This window comes from Homo sapiens, chromosome 9, assembly GCF_000001405.40.
Source record: "Homo sapiens chromosome 9, GRCh38.p14 Primary Assembly".
Lineage (NCBI taxonomy): Eukaryota > Metazoa > Chordata > Mammalia > Primates > Hominidae > Homo > Homo sapiens.
Window position 1 is genome coordinate 114,185,698 of NC_000009.12, and position 26,968 is coordinate 114,212,665.

The 26,968-nt window shown below is 51.0% G+C and overlaps 1 protein-coding gene and 1 non-coding gene across 15 annotated transcripts in view; both read left to right on the top strand.

Annotated features, from left to right (window-relative positions):
• Positions 1–26,968, top strand: part of COL27A1 (collagen type XXVII alpha 1 chain) — a 158,414-nt gene that overhangs the window by 31,600 nt on the left and 99,846 nt on the right. For 11 of the 14 annotated variants that reach the window (XR_929860.4, XM_011519138.3, NM_032888.4 and 8 more), the window contains exons 6-12: positions 8,707–8,760; positions 10,262–10,315; positions 19,405–19,449; positions 20,062–20,115; positions 20,555–20,599; positions 23,978–24,031; positions 25,285–25,329. Coding sequence is in view for 13 of the 14 variants with exons in the window: in XM_011519138.3 (XP_011517440.1) it covers positions 8,707–8,760; positions 10,262–10,315; positions 19,405–19,449; positions 20,062–20,115; positions 20,555–20,599; positions 23,978–24,031; positions 25,285–25,329 (351 nt within the window). In the remaining variant the exon portion in view is untranslated. Of the gene's footprint in view, positions 1–8,706; positions 8,761–10,261; positions 10,316–19,404; positions 19,450–20,061; positions 20,116–20,553; positions 20,600–23,977; positions 24,032–25,284; positions 25,330–26,968 lie in introns of those variants that run through there. The other 3 variants (XM_047423992.1, XM_006717308.3, XM_006717310.4) reach the window with 2 other exon arrangements.
• On the top strand, positions 23,737–23,832 carry MIR455 (microRNA 455). Its single transcript, NR_030255.1, has one exon. It is a non-coding gene; the product is annotated as a microRNA 455 (primary transcript).

The window sequence follows — 26,968 nt, forward strand, 5'->3', positions numbered from 1 at the left end:
GGTGTCTGGGGCCACACATCCATTCATCCTCCTTCAGTCAACAAACGTGTATTGAGCACCCACTACGGGCTGTTGACAGATAAATCAGTCACACTGTCAGGGCTTGCCCTGGGGGCACGGAACTGGATCAGCCCCATGCAGTCATCCCATCAGTGCATCTCCACCTTCAGGTGCTTATGGCCTTGTGGGAAGACGATCCCTCTGCTAGACTCAAGGGTGGGAGAGATGGGTGGTTTGAGGAAGACCAAGAAAGAGAGAAAGCAGAGGTGAGGGACCTCATCCCTCCGGAGGGTGCAGAAGAGTGAAAGTTCAGGAGGCCAAGGGACCTTGCCTAGATCACGGCTGGGCAGTGGGGGGACTGTATTTCAGATCCTTGGGTTTGCCTGCCAGAAGGAGCTTTGTCAGGGTGTCACAGCTGGCACAGGCCAGAGCCAGGCCACACCCCATCTTCCTCCTCCAGAGTCCAAGGCTTTGCCTATCTGCCAGCTACCCACATATCCCATGTTCCAATCCAGCAGGGAAGGGAGCTTGTCAGCTCCAGCACAGAGTTGGATCCAGGACTTTGAGAATGAGGCAGAGAAGCTAGGACCCTGAGAGGATGTGTTTCCGCTTAGAGCGGTGCTGACCCGTGGCAGGTGCTGCAGAAGGGGCAGTTGTCTGCATGTGTGAGGCACTGGGGCTACCAGGGACACAGGCAGGCATGGTCCCTGCCCTTGGGGAGTGTAGAGGTGAGCGAGAAAGCAAAACAAGCCAACCATATTGACAAATGCAGACTTACACCATGATTAGGTCTCTAGGGCTCCATGTGAGAGGCCCGGAGTGCTCGGAGACCCCACGATATGGGGATTGATCTAGTCCGGGAGGTGAGGGACACCTTCTCAGAGGGCAGGAAGGTTGAACCAAGGTCTAAAGTATAGTGGACGACTAGGCAAAGGGGCTGGAGGAGGCTGGTGAGGGCAACAGGCCTGGTAGTTTGCGGTATGATTTTCGGACTTTATCCAAAGAGCAGCTGGAAGACCTGGAAAGGATTTCAGCAGAATTGACATGACTGGATGAGGTCTGCAAACGCCATTTAGGCCATTTGAGAAGCAGAGCTTGGCTGGTGGCCAGATGGAGGGCTGGAGCTGCCCCTGGGGCAGGGTGCTGATGCTGGACCATGGTGGAGTCAGGTGGGATGCAGGTCCTTGGTGCAAATGAGGAGCTCTAGGGCAGAGGTGGGGGTCTCCTTCTGGATAGGGAAGCTAGTGCTCCCCGCCAGTGCTCCCTGCACTGGGCCATGAGGCTCCTGGTTCCACTCTTGAGCAGCCAGCCACCTTGTCTCTGGTCTGGTCCACTTGGTCTGCAGTGAACTAGCCAGGATGATATGGCCCTCAGACACTGGGAAGGAGATGTGGTCAGCAGAGGGCAGGCTCCATGGCCCAGGTGGCTGCTGGCAGAGCTAGTGTGAGCTTTACCTTTCCTCTTCCTCTAATGTTCCTTCCTTTGGGCCAGGCCCTGTGCTGGGCACTTGAGATCAGAGATGGAGTATGCAGGGGGCTTCCAGCCCAGAATATTTTAATCCTTTGTGATTTAGTGCTCATTTGTCTCAGCCCCACCCTGGGCCTCAGCCACCCAAGGAAAATATGGAGAAGTCCAGAAGATGTCAAGAAGAAAGTGAGCTATCTGTAGTGGTCCTGCCCAGTAATAAGCTCTGAGAGCACTTTGAGCAACCTTTGGGCCAGGCCCCGGCCAAGAGCTTTATGTACTTTGCAGGGCAGGTATTATTACCCCCATTTTACAGATGAGGGAATAGGTCCAAGATGCTAAATAACTTGCCCAGTGTCACATTTCTAGTAAGTGGCAGAGCACGCATTCAAACCCTCAACTGTCTGACCTCAAGGTGTCAATCTAGCCCTCAGCTCCACAGCTCTCTGGTCTTCCCTGTGTGTGTCACATATGTGAGTGTGGATCCACTTTGTAGTGGCTGGGTATCTGGCCTTCCTCACTTAACAATTATTGTGAACATTCTCCTGTGTTAGCAACTTGGCATCCATCACATATGATTTAATAGCTTCATGGCATTTTATCAACACTAATATCCCATGCTTTATATAACTTACTCCATTAGTAAAAAAAAATCAGTTCCACTTTAAATTAATATACAAATATTATCTTGATTAACATTACTGTATGTAAATGTTAGAATATCTCCAATTATTTCATTAGGATAAGTTCATCAAAAATAGAATTGCTGATGTGGTCTCAGGAGTCAGTGTGCCCAAGTTTGAATCCTGGCTCTACTGATGCAGGGCAGACAAGCCCCAAATTGGGGATTAGCCTGGGAGGGTTTTTGGCTTCACTCAGGAAAGAATTCAACAGCCAGCTGGTGGTAGAAGAAAACAGCTTTATTGATGTGGCAGTACAGCTCCGTGACTGCTCCGGCACAGCAGGGCTACCCCATAGGCAGTGTGCTGACAGTAACGGTTCAGAGGCAATTCTGCAGTCATATTTATGCCCACCTTTAATTATATGCAAATTAAGAGGCAGAGTATGCAGACATTTCTAGAAAAGTGGTGGTAACTTCCAGGTCATCAGGTCATTGCCATGGAAAGGGGCAGTCACTTTCAGGTTGTCACCTGAGAGGTGATTCTACCTCATGCCTGTTTTAGCTAGTCCTCAATTTGGTCCCAAGTCCAAGCCCTGCCTCCAGAGTCAAGTCTCATCTCCCACCTCACTACCATTTGCTGCTTGTATGACTTTGGGCAAGTTACTTAAAACTTGGAGGGCCTCAGCTTCCACTTCTGTAAAACAAGGATGATCATAGTTCATACCTCATAGGATTGTTCTGAGGATTAAACTGTGTGTGTGTGTATGTGCACACATATATGTGTATTTATATATGTATATGTAGACATATATCAAGACATATACCAAGATATATTTGTATATACATACACAGGCATACATACACATATATACAAATGATTTATAATATGCCTTGCACATGAGAGACATATAAGTGCTTAGCTGTTATTTTATTAGCAATTGCCTTCTAGAAAGGTTAAACTGATTTATGCTGCTGCTAGCATTAAAGGAAGATATTTTTAAAAGAAGATAATTTATTATCATTTTCACTTCATTGATCATCTATGAGATGTATGTTTTTCTTAAATCTCTTTTCCATTTGTACTTCACCACTTATGAGTGGGTTTATTTTGGAAGGTTGGGATGTTGCCATTTGTTATTGGTTTGTAAACATTATTTTGAGGTTATTAAGGCTTCATCCACCTTACAAATATTTTCTAGTTTGTTGTTTGCTTCTTAAGAGTATTCATGATGATTTTCACAAATAGAAATGTTATCCTTTAAAAAAAATAATGTGTCAGATAATCTCAGGAGGGCTCTATTCATCTATAAAATCTGTGGTTCTTTATTTTGCTTTTATACATAGGAATGTTTTTCCCATTTTAAGGTCAGATAGGTATTCATTTATATTCCTTGTAATTTCATAAAATCATTTGTACTCTTAAAAAATTAAAACCATCTGGAATTCATGTTAATGGGGGTGATGGAAATGAAGTTGGGCTCCAGCATTATTTCTCCTCCAACAGTTAACCACTTGTTAAACCATCTTTCCTCCACTGTTTACTCTATGATAGACATGGGTCTAATACAAGCCATTGTATTATGTTTCATTGTTTATTTATTTTTATGCTAGTAAAATACCAATTATATGACATTTACTATCTTTATTCTGTGTATCCTCCTTCTTTTCTTCATTTAAAACATTTCTGGCTATTTATTCTATCAGATGAACCTTATGCCTATCTTAATAATTTCCTTGAAAAAACGCTTGGGATTTTTACTGGAATTGTAATTAAATACATATATTAATTTGTGAAGAATTGCCGTCTTTAAAATATTACATTTTTCTATCTAAAAACATGGCATGTCTTCCTATTTGGTTGAATTTTTACAATGTCTCTTAGTAAACTTTAATGGTTTTTATTACATAAGCCCTGCACATTTCTTATTAGGTTTATACTTAGAAATTTTATATATTTTTTTGCTGTCCTGAATGGAATATTCTCCCCATTATATTTTCTAGATAGCTCTCATCTAGTGAAAATAACTATTGATTTTTGTATTTTTTTACTTTTTGTATTTAATTTATAACCATCCCCTTACTGAATCACCTTATTAATTCTATTAGTATTTCTGTTGGGTCTCCTGGATTTTATAGATAGGCATTCACATTATTTGCAGAAAAGAACATATTGTTGTCTCATTTTCCTCAAAGGTTAGTAGTTCTTATTTATTTTTCCTGCCTTATTGCATTGTCCAGAACTTCTAGACCCATGAAAATAGTCGTACTGATAGTGAGAGGCCTAGTGAAAATTCAGAGACAGTTCTGGGGCAGGAGCCAGATTTGACCCATTCCTATCCCTACCATTGTCTCTTGAGACTCTGTTCACTCATTTGCTCATTTGTGAAACATTTTATGTTGACTTCTCTGGGCCAGGCCCTGTGCCAGATACTGAGACCAAGGATGACATATATAGGAGGCTTCCAGCTCAGAATTTCTCAATATTTATTCATTTATTTGTTTGTTTGAGACAGGGTCTTGGTCTGTCATCCAGGCTGGAGTGCAGTGGTGCTATCATAGCTCACTGCAGCCTTGACCTCCTGGACTCCAGCAGTCCTCCCACCCAGCCTCCCAAGTAGCTGGGACTACAGGTGTGCACCACCACACCCAGCTAAATTTTTTGCTTTTGTGGAGACGGGCTCACTTTGTTGCCCAGGCTGGTCCAGAACTCCTGGGCTCAAGTGATCCTCCTTCCTTGGCCTCTTAAAGTGTTGGGATTACAGGCATGAGCCACCATGCCTGGCCAGAATTTCCAAATCTTTTGTGATTTATTCCTCCCTTGTCTCACCCCATCTCTGGGCCTCAGCCACCCAAGCCTTCTGTTCTATTTCCCAACCCTACCTGCAGGAAAGGTATTCACCATAGTTCCCATTCCTGCTATGTTCTTGGCACTTAAGGCTCCCATCTGTCTTCTAGTACCACCTGGCTCTGTTAACTAATCCAGGCAGAGTCTGCCATTTCACATACAGAGAGGGAAAGTGGCTTGCTCAAGGTCACACAGGCTCTGTCGTGGTCACACAAGCTCATTGGCTGGAGAGCTGGTCTGGCAACAAGATTCTTGTTTCTATGAAGGTGTAAATGGTTAGTTAGACTTTGTATATAACTTATATTTCTTATTGGAAGATTTGCAGGAGCCTGGCTGGGAAGACATATAGTGTGCTCTATCCCAGAAGTCATACCTTCACCTGTCTAGGGGTACCTTGAGCATCCCTTAAGCCGCCACTTCATCTGGTTCCTCCTTGTCTTTTTCCAGCCTCAACTTAGCTGTAACTCCCTTCAAGGATTTACCTCCGTCTAGGTGAAGTTCTCTCCAACTTCTTCCTGTCCTCCACTTACCACCGGATTGTAGTTTTTCATCTGCAGTATATCAAAATGTAAAGAGTTCAGGCTCTGGAACCAGACTGCAAGAACCTAAATCCCACTTTCTTTTTTTTAATTTTTAATTTTTATTTTAAGTTTCGGGCCACATGTGCAGGATGTGTAGGTTTGTTACATAGGGAAACGTGTGCCATGGTGGTTTGTTGCACCTATCAACCCGTCACCTAGGTATTAAGCACAGCATGCATTAACTAATTTTCCTAATGCTCTCCCTACCCCTACTCCCCTGCCACCGACAGGCCCCAGTGTATGTTGTTCATCCCAGTGCGTCCATGTGTTCTCATTGTTCAGCTCCCACTTATGAGTGAGAGCAGGCAGTATTTGGTTTTCTGTTCCTGCATTAGTTTGCTTAGGATAATGGCTTCTTCATCCATGTCCCTGCAAAGGACGTGATCTCATTCCTTTTTATGGCTGCATAGTATTCCGTGATGTATATGTACCACATTTTCTTTATCCAGTCTATCACTGATGCGCATTTAGGTTGATTCCATGTCTTTGCTATTGTAAATAGTGCTGCAATGAATATACAAGTGCATGTATCTTTGTAATAGAATGACTAAATCCAACTTTCTAATTGTATGACCTTGGACAAGTGACTTATTCCTACCGTGCCTTAGCTTCCTCTTCTGTAAAAGGGGGATAGTGATCGTTGCCAACTTATGGATTTGGAGGATTAAATGAGTTAATATGTGTCCAGGGCTTAAGGAGCACACAGTAAATATTAATGCTTATCATCATCACTGGTCTCTCTGGTTTTTCCATCATGGACATGAGTGTGTCTGTTCCCCACCATGGCATTCCCTGTCTTCTGTTCAACTTGAGATTTGGCTTGTAGCATCTGTACTTGTAGGTATCATACTCGGGCAGGCATTGCATCTTGAGCACTGTGCTGGCTGCTGAGAATGCAGAGAGACATCCATGAATAACTAAAATGCCCTGGGTAAGGACCTTGGGCAAGGGAGCAAGTCATCATTTTGGGTCTCAGTTTCCTTTTTTTGTAAGATAACAGAATGGGATACCTGAAGGCCCAGCCCTGAAAGCTTGTTAAGCCCAGCTCCTCTATCAGCTGCAGATCGAGGTGGGCACAGGCTGGCTGAGAAAGAGCTGCTGTCCTTTTTTGGCCATTGGAATCCTCGGTAGCCCTAGGTCTGGCCTTGTACCATGGACATAAAAGGCATTGAGCTGGGCTTCTGAACAGCCCAGGGTGGGAGGGTGTCCGGGAGGAGCAGCTGCAGTGCAAGGTGAATCCCAGAGGTGAGGTTCTGCAGAAGATATGACCTGGAGGGGCCCAGATGGACAGAGTTGGAGTTCTGGGGACCTTCAGCCTGGGGTTGCTGGGGGGATGGGGAGTGTGGGAGAAGCACCCAGGCCTCCCATTTGCAAATGGGGCTTTGAAGTCAGACCTAGCCTGGGGACAGACTCAGCCTTTGTCTCTTCCCTGCCAGGGAAGGCCAGCCCAGGCTGGGACTTGGCCTTCTCTGAACCCACCTTTGTCCTTCCTTGGAACAAATGGGTGCTATGAGGACTAAAGGAGTTGGTGCACAGAGTGGGGCTAGCTCAGTGTCTGCACATAGTAGGTGAGCAGCAAAAGCTCATTCCTTTCCCTTCTGGAGGCACTTTCTAGTTCAGAATGCAGTGATGTCTGGTGGAGGGTGACCGAGTCAGGATTTGGAAAATCTGAGTTCTAATGAAGAAAAGAACTGAGTGGGAATTAATTAAAGTTGCCCAAACCACCCTTCCCATGTGTTATGACCATTATCCCACTGGCTCCTTGCCTGGAAACCTGGGAAGCTGGCGTGTGTTTGTGTGTGTGTGCACGTGTATGTGTGTGCGCATGTGTGGTCCCCACTTTAAAGGTGAGGGAGCTGAGCTCAGGAAGGTGCAGTGACTTGCCTGAGGTCCCACTGTGAGTCTGGCAGGTCCAGGACTTCTGACTCTGGGCCCAGCTGAGGCAGGGAGGGGAGAGGGCTCAAGGTGGGATAGGAATGGGGACAAAGATTAAGAGCTCTTAGAAGGTGACACAGGGTGGACTGACTTTCCACAGGGCTGTTTCCTGAGTCATCTGATCAGGTTTGGCCAAAGGAGAGGAGCCGCAGCCAGGAGCACCCCGTGACAGACATGGCTGGTGAACCTGTGGGCCCTTTTCCCGAGCCCCATGCTCTCAGGAGCCAGGATCTGTGTGACAGGGACTGTCCCCTATGCTAGGCACAAAGAGTGCTTGCCTCTGATGGGGGACTCACTGCTTGTCAGTTTCTCCTCAAGTTACTGCCTGTTCTAACTCAGCAGGAGCCAGGGCATCCTGGAACGCAGGTCTGGGAGTCACCAGTCAGGATTATAATCTCAGCTCTGCCAATGCTTCATCTTGAGGCCCTAGACAGTCCCTTTCCTTCTCCTAGCCTCAGTTTTCCCAAATATATTATGAGAGGAATAATGCTTCCTTTGCCTCACTAGATTGTAGAAATCTAGTGCGGTGAGGGATAGTGCCAACTGTGAAGGGCTGTACACACCTGTAAGTGGCTGTTCGTGCATTGAACCTCATGTAGAGACCCATGAAATGGATATCAACATTCTGGAAAATCAAAAAGTATTGACACGCCTCTTGGACATGTCTCTCAGAAACCCCTGAGAGCCCCAGGGGAACAAGCCAGGAGACAGTCCTGGCCACGTGCACGGGCAGAGACTGGTCACCTGGAGGATGGACGCAGAGCTCTACAAGTAGGATGTGAAGGACACATTCCAGCTGTGAACTGAAGAATGTTTGTGGTTTGGCTAACGATGATTGGAGAAGGGGTTTCTAGGTGTGGGTGACTGCCTGAGCAACAGCCTGGTCGCAGGACAGTGTGGGACATGGCTGGGGCGTGGGCTGTGGTTTGAGGATAGAGCAGAGGGACCCTCTCTGTGGGTTTGGCTGCTGAAAGGAGAGCAGAGTCTAGATAGGGTGCCTGGGACTGGCTGGATTACAGAAGACTTGGGATAGCAGAAGGAGGAACTTGGACTTTGTCACCATGCAGTCAGGGGAAGCTGTGGAAGGTGTTAGAGCAGGGGAGTAGTAGAATTGGAGAAGACCCTCTGGAGGTGTGTGAGTGGGAGGATGGATGGGAAGGCATTTAAGCAAGGGAGCAGGGCTTTGAGCAGAGTTTGTGGGGAGGCAGACATCCTTTCTAGATGACTTGGTGGCCAAAGTGGAATTGTTTTTGTTTCAGGGACAGAAAGGGGACCCAGGGCTCTCACCAGGAAAGGCCCACGATGGGGCAAAGGTAGGTTTCCAGGGACCCCAGTTCTCAGGGAAGAGGGGAGTGGATGATAGTGAAATTGCCACACTTTAAAGCTAGCTGTCCTGCCAGAGGCCATGCATGGCAAAGGCAGGGAGGTGGGAACATCTGGAAGGGTTAGGGTATGGTTTGGTTTTTTCCTTGAAGTCCTTTAGCCTTTCCCAACACCAAACCCACCCAAGGTTATTCCCAGCCACCTTCTTTCCAGAATGCAACCAACAAAACTGACAAAAGATTTCTCCTATGGACACACGCTTGGTGAATGTCCTTTTGCCTAATGTCCTGCATGGCTTTCTGCGGGGTCTGCTAGGTGACTGTGGGCATCCAGAAGTTTCTTGGTAGCACATGGCCAGGAAGCTTCCAATAGACACTCAAAGCCTTTGCTGAGGTTAACTCCAGCAGACGGGTCTGTGGATTTCTAGGAGGCTAGAGATTCAGGGCTCCCTAACTCTGAAGGGCTATGAAACCAGGCTTGCCTGCAGAAGGAAAAACACTTTGGCTAAAGGCCTTCATCCGTCTCTGAAGCATCCACCCCATAAACTGAGCAAGGGACTTGGAGGGAGTGCAGGACAGATGGGAAGAGGGGAGCCCAGAACTCCAAATGAGATTGTCCAGTGTGTCAGTCTTCCAGGCACACACACCCTGGAAGCAATGCCCAGGTCTGCCTGACTTCCTTCTGGACACAGCCCCAGAGCCATCCTGATGGATGGAACACTGCTTCTCAGCCCAGCCTCCTGTGCTTAAAGGCACCTAGAATTGGCTGCTTTCTTTGATTTCCCCAAGACACGAGTTGCTTATTTCTTCACATCCTCACTGCTAGGTGTTTGCACTTAGCACATATTTACTGGGTGACCCAGGGTCCCAGGAGAGTGTTCCCATATACTACCACTTGACCCCCATCATACCCCATGAGCCAGGACAGACGGGCCCAGCTTACAAATGAGAAAACGGAGGCCTAGGCAGGGGTGGCTTGCTGGAGGTCATGCAGCTGATAAGTGGCAAAATGAGATCGGCACCCAGGAGCCCAGGCTTCCCTCCTGCTCCTGTGTGGCCTGTTCTCAGGTCTTGGGGTGGTGGCAGAAATGCCCCCTGCTTGGCCAGTGGCATGCCCAGCAATGGAAGGTGTCTTAGGACTGCAGGGAGAGATGGCTGATTGATATGGGACTGATAAGGCACATGTCCTCTGGAGCATAGTTTTCAAACGTGGTTTTAGTATCGGAACCCATTCTTCAAGTGGTGTCTTCTGCTGAAGCCCAGTATGTAAAATAGATCAGATGGAGCCGCTGAGTTGAGTGGGGAAGGGGCTGGGTACACCACTCACTCTTCTTGCTGGGCAGCCCCCGAGTCTCCTCTGAGGCCTCTACTTCTCTATGAATCTCATTTGGAAACAACCAGCCATTGGAAGTTACCATTCCAATTTGTAGAGTGTAGCAGAGTGTCTCTGCTCCCGTTTTCCTGCCTCACCCACCTTGTCTGTGTCTTCCAGGGTGACATGGGCTTGCCTGGGCTCTCCGGGAATCCAGGACCTCCGGGACGAAAGGTACTGTTTGGTTTTGATGCTTTGCCTTGCGCAGTGGGCCTCCTAGCAAGCCAGGTCTTCAGGCAGAAGAGCTGTGGGCCCACCTGCCTCTCCCCAGCCCCAGCCCAGCTCCCCTGGGCACAGGGTACATGGGTGAGAGGTGAGAGAGCTTTCCAAGGGTTGTGCCTGTTGAGGGCAGGGAATACCTCGGCTCGTAGTAGGTGCCTCCCACCACGGTTAATGAGGTAGCATAGGAAGTATCCTTGGTTTGCTGTCCTTCCTTTTGGGGGCCCAGCCGCTCCCAGGGAGGCCACCTTCAAGAAAGCCTGTGGTGATGGAGTAACCTGTGCTGGCCCTGGCTCCACCACCCACTGTCTGAGAGGCCGTGGGCCTGCGAGTCCTGTCTCTGCCCCTCAGCCTCCTCCTACATGAGATGGAGACAATGATCCCCGTCTCTGACCCTGCACAGTCTGGGGCTGTGTGACCAGGAGCAAGGCCTGGAGCGGAGAAGTTGAGGGAGTGGACCCTGGGGTCAGTTGGACCTGGGTCCTACTCCTGCTTCTGCCATTTCCTGGCTGGGTGACCTTGGGCAAGTCAGTGAGCTCTCAGAGTCTAATATGCGGCCCTCGCTGATGCTCTGCAGGGGAAGGGGAAGGGGAATGATCTGGAGAGGCAGTGGGTTCTCTCTATCTTGCTGGCTGTTGTTATGTCACGCCCATCCCATCCCCATTTCAGCCATGCTGGGGGAGTTACCTGTCCAAACGCCTGTGTGAGGAAAAGACTGGCATTTCCTGGGTAGTGGGTCTGTAACTTACAGTCCCCCTGGATTTCTGTGACTCCTCCAGCCTGTGTCTCCCTTCCTTCAAGACTCTACTCTAGTTGTGCCTACTCCAGGAAGTCCTCCTGGAGCACCCAGCTTCAGGCCATGAGGCTCCTCTCTGCTCAAGAACACTTAAGCTGTCTTGGCTTAGTTATTTTGAGCCACCAGGCATGCCTCACCAACCAGGGTGTGCAAATCTGGTTTATTGCTCTTCCTACTGAGCCTAGCATGAAGCCTGTGCATAGCAGGTGTTCAGGAAATGGGGGGAAGGCAATGCAGACTAAGGATCGATTGCTTTTTCCAAGAAAATCCCCAACCGCTGATGGATTGTCTGGTGAATCCATCGGCCTACCACTGTGTCTTAAGCTTCTGCCCTGGCTCCCAGCTGTGGCCACAGCTGAACTCTCTCTAGGCCATCTGGCTCTCATCTGGACAGCTGGGGTGTCTCCCAGCTCCATCCTGTTCTTGCCTTGAGAGCCCCATGACACAGGGGGCCTTGCAGGACCTCGTTCCCCCATTCCCTTCTCCATGGCCAGAGCAGGCCATACCTTCAACCTGAGAGGCCCACCCCAGAAGCAGTGGCTGTTTGTGAGCTGGGAAACATGGTCCTTTCTGGCTCACAGAACACAGAGGGACTTGCGCTCCCCACTTACTTCCTCTCTGGGCTCTAGCGCTTTCTGATGGATGAGGTGTGAGTGGAAAAGGCTCCTTCCGGTCCCAGCTCATAAAGCAGCCTCGGGTGGTCTTGTTCTGCATGGGGGTGGCAGCCTAGCAGAGGTGGCAGGAGATGGGGAAACCAGACTGGAACCAGCTCCTCCCTGGGGTGCCAGGGCTCCTTGCATTAAGCAGATGTCCGGGGAGGCCAAGGACCCCCAACCAAGAGGAGCCAACTCACCTGAGCAGGGAGAGGCAGCTTCTCCAAGTTAAGGAAAAGCCACTGCGCAGCTGGAAAACTATTTGGCAAAGCCAATTGCTCTGAGCTCCCCTCTGGCCCTGGCCTAGACATGCACAGAAGAGTTTCGTCTGTGGCAGGCTGGCGTCACCCACTTACAGAGGGTGCTGGGCGAAGTGTCGGGGAGCTCAGGTCCCAAGGCAGAGACCCCTGACCAGTGGTGGGGATCAGAGAAGAGAACCACTGCCATGGGCAATGTGCCTGGGGCCACCATTGTAGATGGTCTTTCCTATCACACACATCTTTGGTGACAATAGCAGCCACTTGGCTCTGATCTTGCAGTGTGGCTTTTCTGCATTATTTCTTGTGGGAAACCTTGAGGGGAGAAGGGAAGTGAGTGGATAAGAGGTGAGGTTAGCTTCCTCTTCGTGCTTACCAGCACATTGAATTTTTGTCATTCTGAGGCAACACAGATAATCCTATTTATTCATTTATTTAACAAGAATTATTGAATGCCTATAATGTGCCAGCCACTGAGCTGAATGGACAAAAATCCCTGCCCCACAGGGCCTGCATCCTTGTGGGGGTGTGGGGAGACAGAAGATACAAAGAAAAACAGTAAAAATAAAAGGTACACTATAAGACAGAAAGGGCTATGGAGAAAAATTAGCAAGAGAAAGGGAGTTTTGGTTGGAGGGTGCAGTCTACAGCAGTGGCTCCCAGCTGGGGAGCTCAAGCCCCATCGTGGTGATTCTGGCTCAGCTGGTCTGAGTGGGACTCAGGCATCAGTAGCTCTAAAAGGCCTCCAGGTGTTTCCCACATGCAGTCAAGAATGAGAGGCACCAATTTAATGGAAATACCTTCCATGGGTTTCTAAGCTGCAGGGCTAGGATTCGAACCCAGGTCTTCTGACCCTCAGGCCCTTTCTGTCACCACAAGGCTGATTGAAACAGTTTCTCAAACAAGACAGTGTCCATCTGGTAAAAAAAGAGGCTGCCTGCCCGAGAAGGTTTGTTTCTCTGCCACCGCCTGAGATACTTGTGGAAGGAATTTGCTGGGCCAGTTCCCAAGGTGGGGAAGACACGCAAACCAGGTCAGATAGACCTGGATGGAATCCCCGCTCTGTCCCTCTCCTGCTGTGTGAGCTTGGGCAAGTTGCCTCACCTTGCTGGGCCTCAGCTGCCTCATGAGGTGGTTGGGAGGATTAAATGAGATGTAATATCCCTGCCCTCAGCACAGGGCTGGCACACGGCTGGCACTTTGTATGTATTTGTGTGATGAATAAATAATGATCATGATGATCACGAAGAGAAGCATCTGAAGAAGGTCTTGCCAATCTGGTAGCACTAGTCATTTTGCTAGTTTCCAGCTAACCACCCTCCACTAGCCAAGAAGGCTGCCAGAACTCCATGTGCACCTCCCATGCTTTCTCTCATCTAACCCTCCTGCTTTCTTTCCTGTAGACCAGTAGTTCTCAACTTGGGGTGATTTTGCCCCCCAGGGAACAGTTGGCAGTGTCTGGAGATATTTTTGGCCATTACCTACAACTGGGAGGGAGGTGCTACTGGCTTCTAATGAGTAGAAGCCAGAAATACTGCTAAACATTCTGCAGTGCACGAGATAGCCCTTCCCTCCCATACACATACAAGATGTGTTCAGCCCACAAAGTCAGTGTTGAGAAACCTTGCTGTATAGAAACCCTGGCCCCATCCAATCCCATATACCCTGGGCCTTCCTGCCTCCCTGGCCCCCGCTGTGTAGAAACCCTGGCCCCATCCAATCCCGTGTACCCTGGGCCTTCCTGCCTCCCTGTGTTTGCTTCTGCTGTGCCCTCCCCAGGCATGCCCTCTCCTCCACACTCATCCTCATGTGCCTACTCCTTGGTTCTGTTCTTAGAGAAGAATAGCATCTTCTTCAAGAACGCTCCCCAGCACCTCCAGGCAGAAGTGACGCCTCACTTCCTGACCATTTGGCCTCCCTTCTCGGCCTCTTTGGGCTAGTGGGCAACCCACTAGTGTCAACACATTGCTTAGACTGGACAGTGGACAGAACCCAACCTGTTCATCTTTGTTTCCCACGTGGGGCTTAGCGCAGTGCTGACCACATTCAACTCCCTCGCTCCTCACCTCTGGCAAGCCTCACGAATTGATCTTTCTGGCCAAGTCCTGACACAGCCCCTGAATCTTTCTTACCATACTGCCCCAGATAGACATGATGCATGGAACAAAACTGCTACTCAAATCAAAACCTGACTTGCTTCTCTCCAGCCTGACATCCCCCCAGCTCCCTCCTGTTGCCCCCACCCTGCCCCCTAGCAGGAATGCTGCCTGAGTTGGCCATTATCCGTGGAAGCTGTAATAAAATGGGAGAGCACAGGGGTCATCTGGAAGTGTGTCTGGGGAAATGTGATGGAGGCTGCCTGAGACAATTTCCCACCTTTCTGCTGAACTCCCGGTTCTGCCTGAGTGTGGCACCCCCAATTCCATAGAGTTCCTCTCAAGAAACTTCTCCAGGCTCCCCTGCTTCTGCAGCCCATACCCACTGGCATCCCTCCTATCCCATCCTGTGTCTCCTGTCCAAGTCCTGCTCCTCCCCCAAGCCTCAGTTTACAATGTCACCTCCTCTGGCTGGGTGCATCTATATTCTTCTAGCACTCTTCTTCATTCCACCTAATATGCATTTAATGCCCACATCCCCTTGTAGAAGGTAGAGAGTTTTTTCTGTTCACTGGTGTATCTCTAGTGCCTAACACAAGGTCTTGGTCATTGCTGGGACTCAACAGACATTTGTTTGATGAATGAATAACTGGATGAATGAATGAGCCATGCAGAAAATATACCTTCCTGCCTGGAGCCGTCTCAGGCATCCACGGAGCAGAGTTGGGTGTCAGACACCTGGCTGTGCCATGATGGACTGTGCTTTTTGACTAGCCACAGACTTTGGAATCCTACAATTTCTGAGCCCACAGGACACTTGGAGAGGCCAGCTGGGGAAACTGAGGCCCGGAGAGGCACCTTGTCCAGCATCACATAATAAGACCCTCTACTCTAGGCATGTGTTTCTCACTCTTTGATTCTTTCTGTCCTGCTGATGGCCCAGTCTGGGGTGTGGGCTGCCCGGGAGGTAGCGAAGTTCAGCAGAGATTCATGGAGAGCTAAGCAAGCTTGGTGAGTTTCATGTCAACTACAAGGGGAGCTGAGGCCTTGCACAGGCGGAGGTGGAGCCTCGGTGGACAGCCGATGTCTGAGTACATATGGGTCCCTAGGACCCCCAGGCAAGGACGGGACCCCTCCCCTCCCTGCCCAAAGCCCAGAAAGCAGCCCAGCCAGACGGGGAGACGGTTTGTAGCAACAGTGAGGTGATGTCTGGTTTCTCCTTGCGCATTGTAAGCAATGATTCATCTGGCTCCCAAACCAAAATATAGACCGAGTTCTATTATAAACACAGGTTCTGTGGAGACCCGCCTGCTGGGCAGCCAGAGGCCCCTTGCAGACACCACGTTCCCTGGAGCTCCCCGAAACATTCCCTCTCCCTTAGTGCCAGTCAGGCACCGATCGCAAACTGGAAAGTCACTGCCCACGGGCCCACTTCTTGCGGTCAGCACCCGCCCCATAATTGGCGGGGCGCTGCACAAGATAATGGTTTAGATTCTTGCAGGTCTGGGGCCCTGTCATTTGAAGCTATTTGCTGGCCCCAGCTGGTAAACATTGTTAAGATGCTTCCAGGGAGCATAAGCACCTCCCACCGCCTACCTCCCGCCTTGGCTATGCTCGCTCTTCTGCTCCTGGCCATCCAGGAGAAACTGGGGTGTTCACGGCAATGTTCAAGGCCCTTCAGGGTCCCTTGATCAAGAGATACCTAGAAATTGTATATCCCAATGGGTCTGGAGTCCTAGGGAAAAGTACTGGCTTGGCCATAACTTGCTAGGTAACTTTGGACAAGTCCCTTCCCCTCTCTGAGCTTCAGTTTCTCAGTCCGTCCAGTGAGAAAGGAGATTGTCAAACTAATGGTTTGGGGCTCTTTCAACTCAGTTACTCCAGGGTTTCATGACTGACCTCTGCCTGAATAATGCTGCAATGATGTGAAGCTTTCATCCCAGGGAGGCGCATCTATAAGGGGATCTCTCCTTGAGTGGCTTTGTGGCTCTTCTAGGCAGGTCTTAGGCCTCAATGAGCATGTTTCATCCCATGCTTTTTGATGGCTAAGGATGCGGGATTGGAGTCACAGGCCAGGCGCTGCCCCTAGAAAGCTGTGTGGCCTCAGCAAAGTCTCTTTACCCCTCTGAACATCAGTTTCCTCAACTGGCAAATGTGTATGGTAATTTCTGCCTCCTAGGAGTGATAGCAAGGAGTCCATGAACTGATATGTGAAGGCTTCAGTGCTGAGCCAGGCATAGGGCCTGCCACTGTGCATGCCCGTGATGATCATTCACTTCCATTTAGCTGCATCCTGAGTAAAAGGGTTTACTTGAAATCTTCTCCTGGGATTTCACTGGAGAAATGCCTCTGCTTCCTTTGTGGGGAGGTTTGGGGGCTGAAGAATTGGTTTTCAGCAGAGTTCTTGTGGCTGCAGATGAAGCCACAGGAGCTGGTGATGGCCAAGGGCCCCCTGGACCCCACATTATGGTTCTCTTGGGGTTCTTGCCCTGTTACTCCATTGGATCTTTGCAGGCAGGTAGAATACGGCAGAGTGAGCTTCAGAGAGGATAATTACTCATACAGAGTCACATAACCAAGAGTGCAAGGCTCCATTCAGCTCTTCACTGGGAAAAAGTTTCACTTGTTCTTCCTAATCTGCAAGCTCCAGGTGGAAAAATGATGATCACGGCTGTTAGTTACATCATGTCGCGCTACCTCCCTGCTCGAAGAGCTTCTGTGGTTTTGCATCATATCACCGCCAGCATGCTCTGACCTCCTGCTTCTCCAACCACCGCCATCCTTCACCCTCTCACCCACTCTATTCCAGTCATACAGGCCTTCCTGTGTTCCCTCCAAGCCACTTGAGGGCATTCTTGCCTCAGGGCCTTTGCACTTGCTGTTCCCTCTGCCTGCACTGCCTTTCTCCATGGAGCCAGCCCTGTGTTCATCCCATTCATCTCCTTAGAGCAGCCTTTGCTTGATCCCACCCTCTCTTCACCATCCCTCCCCAATGCCGTGTTCTCTGTCTGTAACTTTACTTCCTTTTCTTCACAGCACTGATCACTACTAGACATTTTCTCTCTGTTTCTGAAAAGATTTTATTTTAATTGTGGTTAAAAAGCATATAACATAAAATTACCATCTTAACCAATTTTAAGTGTACAGTTCGATAGCGTTAGGTACATTCACATTGTTGTGCAATCAATATCCAGAAATGTTTCATCTTGCAAAACTGAAACTGTACCCATTAAGCAACTCCCCATTCCTCTCTCCTTGCAGCCCAGATGTTATTTTTGTTTGCTTTGTTTTTATACCTCCTTAATTAGAATGTAAACTCCTTTAGGGCAAAGGATGTTGTCTGTCTCATTCTTCCTGTGCCTAGAATGGTGCTGGAGCATGAAAACTCGGTAAATGTTTATCGAATGAATGAATGAAAAATGAAGATTATGATAACAGCAGCTAACCTTTTCAGCGCCCTTGAATCCAATGCCAAATACTGCGCTTTACACACTTTCTATCCTGCCATCCCTGCTCCAACTTTGTAGCCCCATGTTATAATTGAGGAAAATGAGATTCTCAGAGGTGAAGTCATTGGCTTTGGGTCACCCAGCCAGCCAGTTAGTACAGTAGTACTGGAATCCAGATGGGTCTGAAACAAGAGGTTGTATGCCCCGGTTTGCCCACTGGGGAAAAGAGTACACGCCCCAGCTAGAAGAATCACACCCAACCTTGTTGCATCAATCTCCATAGGCCCCTGAATCTGAGATACAATCATGTCACTGAGGGCTCTTGAGACATGAATAGGTGCAGAAAGAATGCTTGTAAACTCTCCAGACCTCTTAGATCAAACTGACTCTGCTGTTTATAATAAAGAGTCCCCACTTCCTGGGGGCTGATGGGGGGTGTTGAGTGTGTATGCCTGTGTGTGTCTGTGTAAGTGCATGGAGCTGTACATGTCTGGAGATGTTTGCAAGATTTCCAGCGTGTTCCCAGATGTCAGAAGGATCTGGTAGTGAGTGCCTGTGGCTTGTTAGCAATGGGACTCAGAGTAGGCGTCTTCAGTTCTATGAGACTCAGTGTTCTCTGTAAAATGGAGATGATAGTCGCCCCCGAGCCCAGCTCATCTGACTGTTGGAAGGAGTAGATGAAGTCATCTATTATGCACGTAGTCCTGGGTAAACGGCAGCACATAGAGAGGGTCTACAGGTTTGAGCGTGCATGTGCGCGTGTGTGTATTCTGGTCTTGTGTGTGTATTTTAGACTCTGGAGGAGTCTTCAAATTCTAGGGTTCTAAAACATCATAGCTGAAGAGGACTCAAGAGTTCTAACTCCCTTATCTGAAGTTCAGAGAAGGGTAGGAACCCACCCAAAGTTGCATAATAAGTTAGGGACAGCATCTAAAGCAAGCCCAGAGCTCCCTGCGTAAGAGGGTCTAACATGGATGAGTGTGGCTACCCTGTGCACAATGGAAGCCCCCCATCTGATGGAAGCTTGAAGTCTGAGGTTTCCTTTGGAGACCTTACTCTTATGAAATGGCTCAGGTGATTATACCTGGTGCCACCTGAAAGCACACAGTCAGCTTGGTTCTCTCGACTCAGAGGCCTGGCCTGGACATGCCTTTTGGCCATCAGGACAGAGGGTCAAGGTTGGTACTGGGGCGTTGCCAGAGTCCTTCTCATCAGTATCTGGATGGCCTATCCCTCCCTGGAATAGGAGCTGGGGCCGGTGGGAGAAGGGAAACAACTATTTGGGTTAATAAATGTGGTCAAGGCGTGTGATGGGGGCTTTATGAGAAGGGGCAGGTCTTGAAAGGGGAGGGAATCCCAGCATCCCGTGTGACGTGGTGGCTCAGCACAGTCCAGACCTCAAGTCCTACTCAGTTTACTCCTCCATTGACAAATCCTAGCCCTGAGAGACGGTCTCGCCTTCTCTCTTGATTCAGAAGGAATGGTTGCGATACACCATCTCTTGGTCACAGTTGCTCTGTCCCAGTTCAGCTCACCTACTCTGCCAGAGCAGTGAATGACCCTCCTGATGTCCTCTGGCCTAAGAACCACTGGGAGCAGAGAGAAAACCTTAGGAATATGTGAACCCTCACATGGTATCTGCATCCATCTGGGGAACCTTTACTGAGTGCACACTCCATCCCGGATGCAGTACATACGGTGCTGAACAGGGCAGGCCGGGAGGCTGGGCCCTTGCGATCTCCAGGACCAGATGTGTCCTCCCTGCCTGATGCAGCTTCTTCCCCCTCCAACAGGGACACAAGGGCTATCCTGGACCGGCAGGGCACCCCGGAGAACAGGTGAGGGCCTCAGCCTCAGCCCTGCCCTGGTCGCTCTCCCTCCTCCCAGCCCCTACCTGTCTCTGGCCCCCTCCCTAGATCCTGCTCTGTGAGCCAGCCCCAGAGCCAGGCTGTTTTGCCTCTCACCCTGCTGGAGCCCCCAGCCCACTCCAGTCCACCCCACCTCTCTCGCCCAGCCACATTTGCCCAAAAGAGCCAGAGTCCATGCCAGCCTGATGTTGGCATGAGCCGCACAACGCCAGTTGGAGCCATGAATAGCTGGCCTGTTCCGGGCGATGTTAGGGGATATTATACTCACCGCCACGGGGTTTGCAGGAATTTTGGCCAGCCTGGCCCAAGTGAAACAGCAGCCCTGCCAGCATGGGAGAACCAGCCAGGCCTCCTCAGTAATTTCTTATTCCTGGGCTGCAAGCAGAGGGGGTTTTGTCCCTCAGAGCTGGTCTGACCGGTTTCACAGAGGGGTGGGCTTGGGGGCCCTCCCCTTCCTCCTGTTCCATCTCACATTCCTGCCCCTCTCTTTATTCATTGTCAGCCCCAGTCTCCCAGGGTCCCCCAGACCCAGAGCTGGGCAGGGTCTTTCTTTTCCTTATGTTTCTCTCTGTTCCTTTGCAGGGGCAGCCAGGACCTGAGGGCAGCCCAGGGGCCAAAGGTTACCCTGGCAGGCAGGTGCAGTATATGGCTTCTGGAAGCTCTGTGGCCATGGTGATGTGAAGATGGCCACAGGTGCCCCGAGGCAGAGGGAGGTGGTGGGCTGGGGGCCAAGGAGCTGCACCTGCTGGGTGGACCCTAAGGAGGGGGCTTTCCAGGGGACTGGACCAAGGAAGCCTGTCTTTGCAGGCACAGGATAAGGCTGCATAGTAAGAGGAGGTCTGGTTCTGCGGGGCTGGGGCTCCAGAGGCTCCTCCTACTCAGTCTCCCTCCTACCCACCAGCCACCTCCCTGGGATCCTAGGGCTGTGGGGGTCAGGCCAAAGATCGCTGATCTAACCCCACCCCCATTCTACAAAGAGAGCAGCAGAGGCCCCAAAGAGGCAGGACTTGCCCCAGGATTGGCAGCAGGTAGAGCGTCTCCATATGTCCTTGCCCCTCTGTGTTTTGTGTTTCAGGGGTTACCTGGACCGGTAGGAGATCCCGGCCCCAAAGGCAGCAGGGTAAGTGGTTCCTGGCCAGTGCCACATGGGTGGGGTTCTAGGTGAGCATCACCTGTCCCTCCAGTGGGCTTGATGGGAGGTCAGAGCTATAAGGAGAGCCAAGGCCCTCCCACTTGAGTGCTCCCGGACAACAGAGGGGCAGCAGGAGGGATGGGTGATGGGAGACCCTTGAGCCAGGTAAACTGCTTGGTCCCCATGGCCAAGAAGTCTGGGAAGTAAAGACTCTGCTGGGGGTTTGGCCACAGTCCAGCTGCAAACAGCTAGGCATTTGTTTGCTGTGTCTCCTGGCTCATCCCAAGTTACAAGGGAGCCAGTATGGGCCACTTGAATTGCCTGTCGTCGAATCTTCAGAGGCCTCCCTCCTGCTCCCAAATGAGGGCTGGGGGGAACCACTCTTTGTGGAGGGCACCTGGTGTGGGAATGCTGCCCAAGCCTGCAGCCTGGTGGAGTTTCCAGATCTCCCCTTCCTTCAAGGCCCCCATGGAGCAGACCCCGAGTAGCGATCAGCCTCAGTTGCCTACCTCTACAATGGTCATGATGTCCATTTGTACCTCTAGTCTGGTTATGTCAAGCTGACTTGACAGCTCAGGAGGGGGCCACCAGGTGGGGACTCCCATGTGGGTTGTGGGAAGACAGAGAGGGTTCTGGGTGGACCGAATGGGGTAAATGGAGTTGGAAAGATTTAGAGCTGATGTGGTGGAATCGTTTCTTTTACACACAAAGAAACTGGGTTCATGGCGGGGCCTGGATGGCCCCAGCTTACACTGCACGCCTAAGGCGGATCTGGGATGGGGACCCAAGTCTTCCGAGGCCTGGACTTGCTGCCTCTCAAGGAATGCTCAGGAAGGGGGTCACACAGTCCTCGGTCAGGACAGATCACGTATCCTTTGCTCCTGAGCCAAAGCTATTTATATTTTGGCAGGAGGGAGAGGACAGAACAGTTGCAGTCTCAGCCCTAATCCCTGCAGCTGACTGGTGGCTGTTAGGAGAGTGTGGGGAGGCGGGAGTGGGGGCGGGGAGGTGCATTCCCCAGGAGGTTACTGTGACAGGCAGGGCCTAAGGAGGCTCTTGTCCCAGGGTGCTGTGCCTCTCTTCCTTTATTCTGCTGCTCCCATGGGCCATTCCCCCAGAGGGACCCCCTAAACCCAAGGAGAAAGGTCTTCTCAGTCCAGCCCCAGTCCTGATCTCCTGACCTGCCAGAAGGACAGGCATGTTAATGACATCTGGGGTTGCTCGACTTGCCTGCCAGGCTGGTGGCATCTCAAAGTCACATAGCAGGAGAGGACTGGTCTGGCCCCAGCACTCCTGTCTCTTACAGGCCACACAGCCCTGGGTGGGAAGCCTGGATGAGCAGTGAGTCACTCAAGCTGCCCTTCCAACCCTGCCACCACCAGCCTCATATTTCTGAAGTAGGCAGAGGGCAGGCTTTGGAATCAGGATGACAGGCTTTGAGACCTGCCCTGCCATTAGCTAGCTGTGGGAGCTTGGGCAAGTCACTGGGCCTCTCTGAGCCAATTATTTTCTCACCTGTAAATCTGGGAGATAAGCACTATTTGGAATGGCAGTAAATGGCACTCTTTCAGATTATGGATATTAATCATGCTGGATGCCAACGAGGAGGCTCAGTGGCTTCTTGGCCTTCCAGGGAAGGAGAGATGGTTGTGAGCCTCCATTGGTTGCTTGTTTGAGGAGAGGCAGTATGCAGAGTGGTTAGGAGCCCAGGCCCAGGAGTCAGAAGACTTGAATTTGAATACCAGTTCTACCACATTTCAGCTGTTTGGTCCTAGGCAAGTTGCTTCACCCCTCTGGGCCTAAATGGTCTTACCTCTACAGGGGGCTGAGTAATAATACTTCCTCAGGGCTGGGCGCGGTGGCTCGTGCCTGTAATCCCAGCATTTTGGGAGGCCAAGGCGGGTGGATCACCTGAGGCCAGGAGTTCGAGACCAGCCTGGTCAACATAGCGAAACCCCGTCTCTACTAAAGTAACTACAAAAATTAGCTGGGCGTGGTGGTGCACACCTGTGATCACCTGTGATCAGCTATTCAGGAGACTGAGGCAGGAGAATCGCTTGAACCCGGTAAGCAGAGGTTGCAGTAAGCCACGATCGCACCACTGCACTCCAGCCTGGATGACAGAGCAAGACTCCGTCTCAAAAAATATATATAAATAAAAAAATAATAAAATATAATACTTCCTCGGGGTGTGATAAGGATGGAATAAATGCTTTAATATATGCAAAGCACTGGCAGCAGGCCTGGCCTATCATTCGTGCTCAATAAACATTAGCTTTTGTTAGAGTTATTATTAAATCATTCCACCAAGAGTGGCACGCAGATAGTGGTAGAAGCCCCGGGCGAGGTTACTGCCCTTTAGAAGTTCCCAGGCTAATGAGGACGTGAAGCATGAACACAAATAATGAAGATACAAGGGAGAAAGTGGAGAAGGATGCTACCGAGGTGCAAAAATGGCACTGGGGATGGGGGGGAGAGATTGCTTCCGGCTTGGGGTATCAGGGATGCTTGCCCAAGGAGAGCGCTTATGAGAGCTGGGCTTTGAAGGATTTGGCTCAGAAGTCATGAGGGATGGGAAGGACATGCCTGGTGGAGGGGACAGAGTGAGGAAAGGCTGGGAGGGAGGAAATGAGATGCATCCTAGGGAAGAGCCCCAGAATGGTGACGAGCCCCAGCTGTGGAGTCAGCTGGCCCTGGGTGACCCTTGAACTGATTAGGAATTCCCGAAGAGAATTCACAGCTCCACTACTGACTAGTCGTGTTGCTTTATCTACAGAGCCTCAGTTTCTTTGTCTGTCCAGTGTGGGTGGTGACAATCTGGGGGGTCCTTGTGAGAGTCTAATGTGGTAGCATGCATGTGCCTGGCACAATGTTGGCACTCCGGGTTCGCAGCCGCTGTTAGTTAATGCCAGCACTCAGGCGGCCAGAGGTGGATGTAAGCCCTACATCCAGGACCTTGAAGGCCTAGGAGGAGCCATGGCAGGAGCCACGGGCACCTACCAGCATCCCTGGGGGTGGGCAGGGCTTGGTGCCGTGCTAGCATCTAACCCAGCCGCGAGCTTCCTTCTGCAGGTCCTGGAGCCCTGGCGTGGGGCGGGCCTCCTGCCGGCGAGCGCCTGCGCCCTTCCCTGGCGTGAGGGTATGTGCCTTTGGACTACATCGTGGAAGCCAGCACCATGCAGTCCATGGGCATATACACTTGCCTCAAGGCCTATGTCATCGAGGAGCCACCGGAGCTGCCACTGCCACCAGGGAGGAAGAGGAGGAGCCGGGATGTGGGATGGCAGTGGTGGGTGGGCTGCGGCAGGTTGGGCCAGCCACACCTCACTGCTTGACCGCTCTGACCCCCTTTCTTCTCTTTCCTAGGGCTACATTGGGCTCCCAGGGCTCTTCGGCCTGCCAGGGTCTGATGGAGAACGAGTAAGTTTGCTTCTTTGGTTATTCACCATCCACAGCCACCCCTGCCCAAACAGAGCAGAACCTGCCAGGCACCAGCCTGGGGAAGTCAAGGAATTCCTCCTGGAGGAGGTGCACTTGAGTCGAGTAGGAGTCTGATAAGGGGACAAGTCAAGGCAGATGCATTCCAGGCATAGGGAACAGCATGTGCGAAGTCAGGGATTTACGGTAACTTGGCGAGTTTAACACTCAACACTGCCAAAGTGCTGCGTGAGAGGGTGAGAGTGGTGGGAGTTGAGGCTGGAGAGGACCCTGGGGCAATGTCTTAGGTGCCCAGGACTAAGGTTAGAAAAGGAACTCTGTTCTGAGGGTATGCGGAGCCTCTTGAGGACTTGCAACCAATGAACACCGGGCCCACTTTATAATATAGATCAGGGGTCTGCAAACGGTGGCCCATGGGCCAAATCCAGCCAGTTGTCTGTTTTTGCAAACAGTTTTATTGAACTCAGCCTTGCTCATTTGGTTACATATTGTCAATGCCGCTTTCTCACTACAATGGCAGAGTTGAGTAGGTGTGACAGAGACCGTATGGCCCACAGAGCCAAAGATATTCACTATCTGCCCCTTTCCAGAAACCATCTGCTGATTCCTCTTTTAGACAGATCAGTTGGTTTACTTGAGTAAAATGTGTTGGTTGGGGGTGGGGACAGCAAGAGCAGGTGGCAGGAGTTCCAGCAGCCAGGGGGAGCGGCTGTCTGGGGAAGGTGGTGGGACTGGTTTGGTGGTGGGCAGTGGGTGCTAAGATTTCCTAAGACACCCTGTCCTTCCAGACCAAGTATCTAAGTCAGAGGAGTCCAAAAGATGGTGTGGGAGCTTCTCACAGACCCCTGGCCCAGCCTGGAGGTCCATTAGAAGCCCCTGGGGTGGTGGCCTCGGGATCTTCCTCCCCGCCCCCTCCCAACCTGAGCCCGTATCTATGGGAACTCACTTGTAACCTCCATAAGCTGGGTATAGAGAACCTTAGGACAGCTGGAGCCTGAGCATTTATGAAGCACCTGCTGATTACAGGAACTGGCATTTCTCTGTCTCTTAGGTCACCACAGACCCCGACCCTGCCATCCGTCTGATGTGCATGTCACTGGGGCCGCCACGCAAGTGGCACACATTCCAGGCCCTCTGTGACTTCCTGCCGTGGGTGGCTCTGGGCTGGTTTGGGGCAAGCCTGGCTGTCCCTGCTGGCATCCTGCCCTGACCTCTCCCCTGTCTCTCCCCTGCAGGGCCTGCCTGGCGTTCCTGGCAAGAGGGGCAAGATGGGTATGCCGGTAAAGATTTTCCGTGTCTATTACGCAGACTCTAGCGGGGAACCCCACCTCCCACGGCCACGCTGCCCTGGCCACCTGCTGCCTGGCATCTTCTGCTTCTCCCCCTGCTTTGAGTGTGGGGGCCGCATGTGGGGTTGTCTGGCCACAGGACCTGCTGCTGGCACACGGCGTGACTGGGGCCTGGCTGGGGCTGGGGCTTCCATGGGCTCTGGACCCCTCTGGGGTAGCTCCTGTCTCCCTGTGGGCATCAGTGGCTCTCCAGTGCAGTTCTGTGTCTGGGGGCTTCTGTCTAAGGTATTTGTGTCTGTGGGTCTGCTGTGACCGGGGGACCTTGGCTAGACCAGGTGACTCTGCTCCCATCTCAGGGAACACTCAGTCTCCACATCGTCTTGGTGTCATCCGGCTCTGTCCAGTTTGCTCATGCACACGCAAAGCCAGAGGACAATGGGGTTTATGGGCAGTGCCCACAGCAGGCATGACCGAAAGAGGGGCTCAGCGGTGACCCCCAATTCACCAGCTTTCTCTATGGCTCCCCATCATGGGAGGAAATTGTTTTTCCCTTTGTTTGGACATGTGCAGAACATGGAGAAAGAGCCAAGGCACGGAGAGATTAAGTCACTTGCACGATGAGTAAACAATGCAGCCAGGATTGGAACTCAGTTGGTTTGTTCCCGGTGTCTTTGATCTCAGTGGCTGCTTGAGGCAGCCTCTCAGGGTCCCTAGTTGGCAGTCATATTATAAAAATAGGTTCCCTAGACTCTTCGCCTGGAAGGAAGATCATTCATTCCAATTATTGAGAAGCGGGAAACTGAGGCTCTGAGAGGCAGAATGAGATACCAGGGTCCCTCTGCCACTGCCCTGCAGGTTGACTCCTTGACTTGGAACCATGGTCAGACCAAGTCTGGGCCTCCCATCGCTGGTGGTTGGTGAGGAAGGGAGTATGAAGAGGAGGCCTGGAGCATTCGAGAGTGCTCAGAGGGGCCTCTCCGTGCTTCTGCCACTGATGGGCATGTTAGCTGTTGGAGCGTTTAACCTGGGCCCTCTGGGGGCCAAAGAGGAAAAACAAAGAAAAGAAAAAAGCCTCAAAGAGCTGACAGAGGAGGTCCCTCCACCCCCAACCTAGACCCCTCTGTGGCCCGAACAGGCAGTCTTCTCTAAGGTCCAACACCTGACACCTAGACCTGGGCAAGGAGCAGCACCTGATGCTCCCAGCTTCAGGGCAAGGACCTGGAGTCTGAGAGGGCTGGGCTGGCACATGGGGTTGTCCCTCAAGCCAGCATGACCTCAGGCAAGGAGATTTGTTCATCCAGTGATTATCTGTTCATCCCATGAATATCTGTTGAATGCCTGCTATGGGCCAAGCATTTTGCTTTGTTCTGGCAGAGCAGTGGATAAGACAAAGTTCCCACTCTCTTGGGGCAGACAGACAGATACCCAATCACTGAATGGGGAAATGGAAGAATGAACAATTAAATGAAGGTTAGGTAGTGCTGAATCTAAGAGAGAGTAGGATAGGGAGACAGGGAGTACTTGAGGGTTGGGATCTTGAATAAGTTAGTCCAGAAAGTCTCCCTCGCTTTATGAAGAATCTCAATGAGGTAAGCGTGGAAGCTGTGTGCCTTTCCAGGCAAAGGCCCTG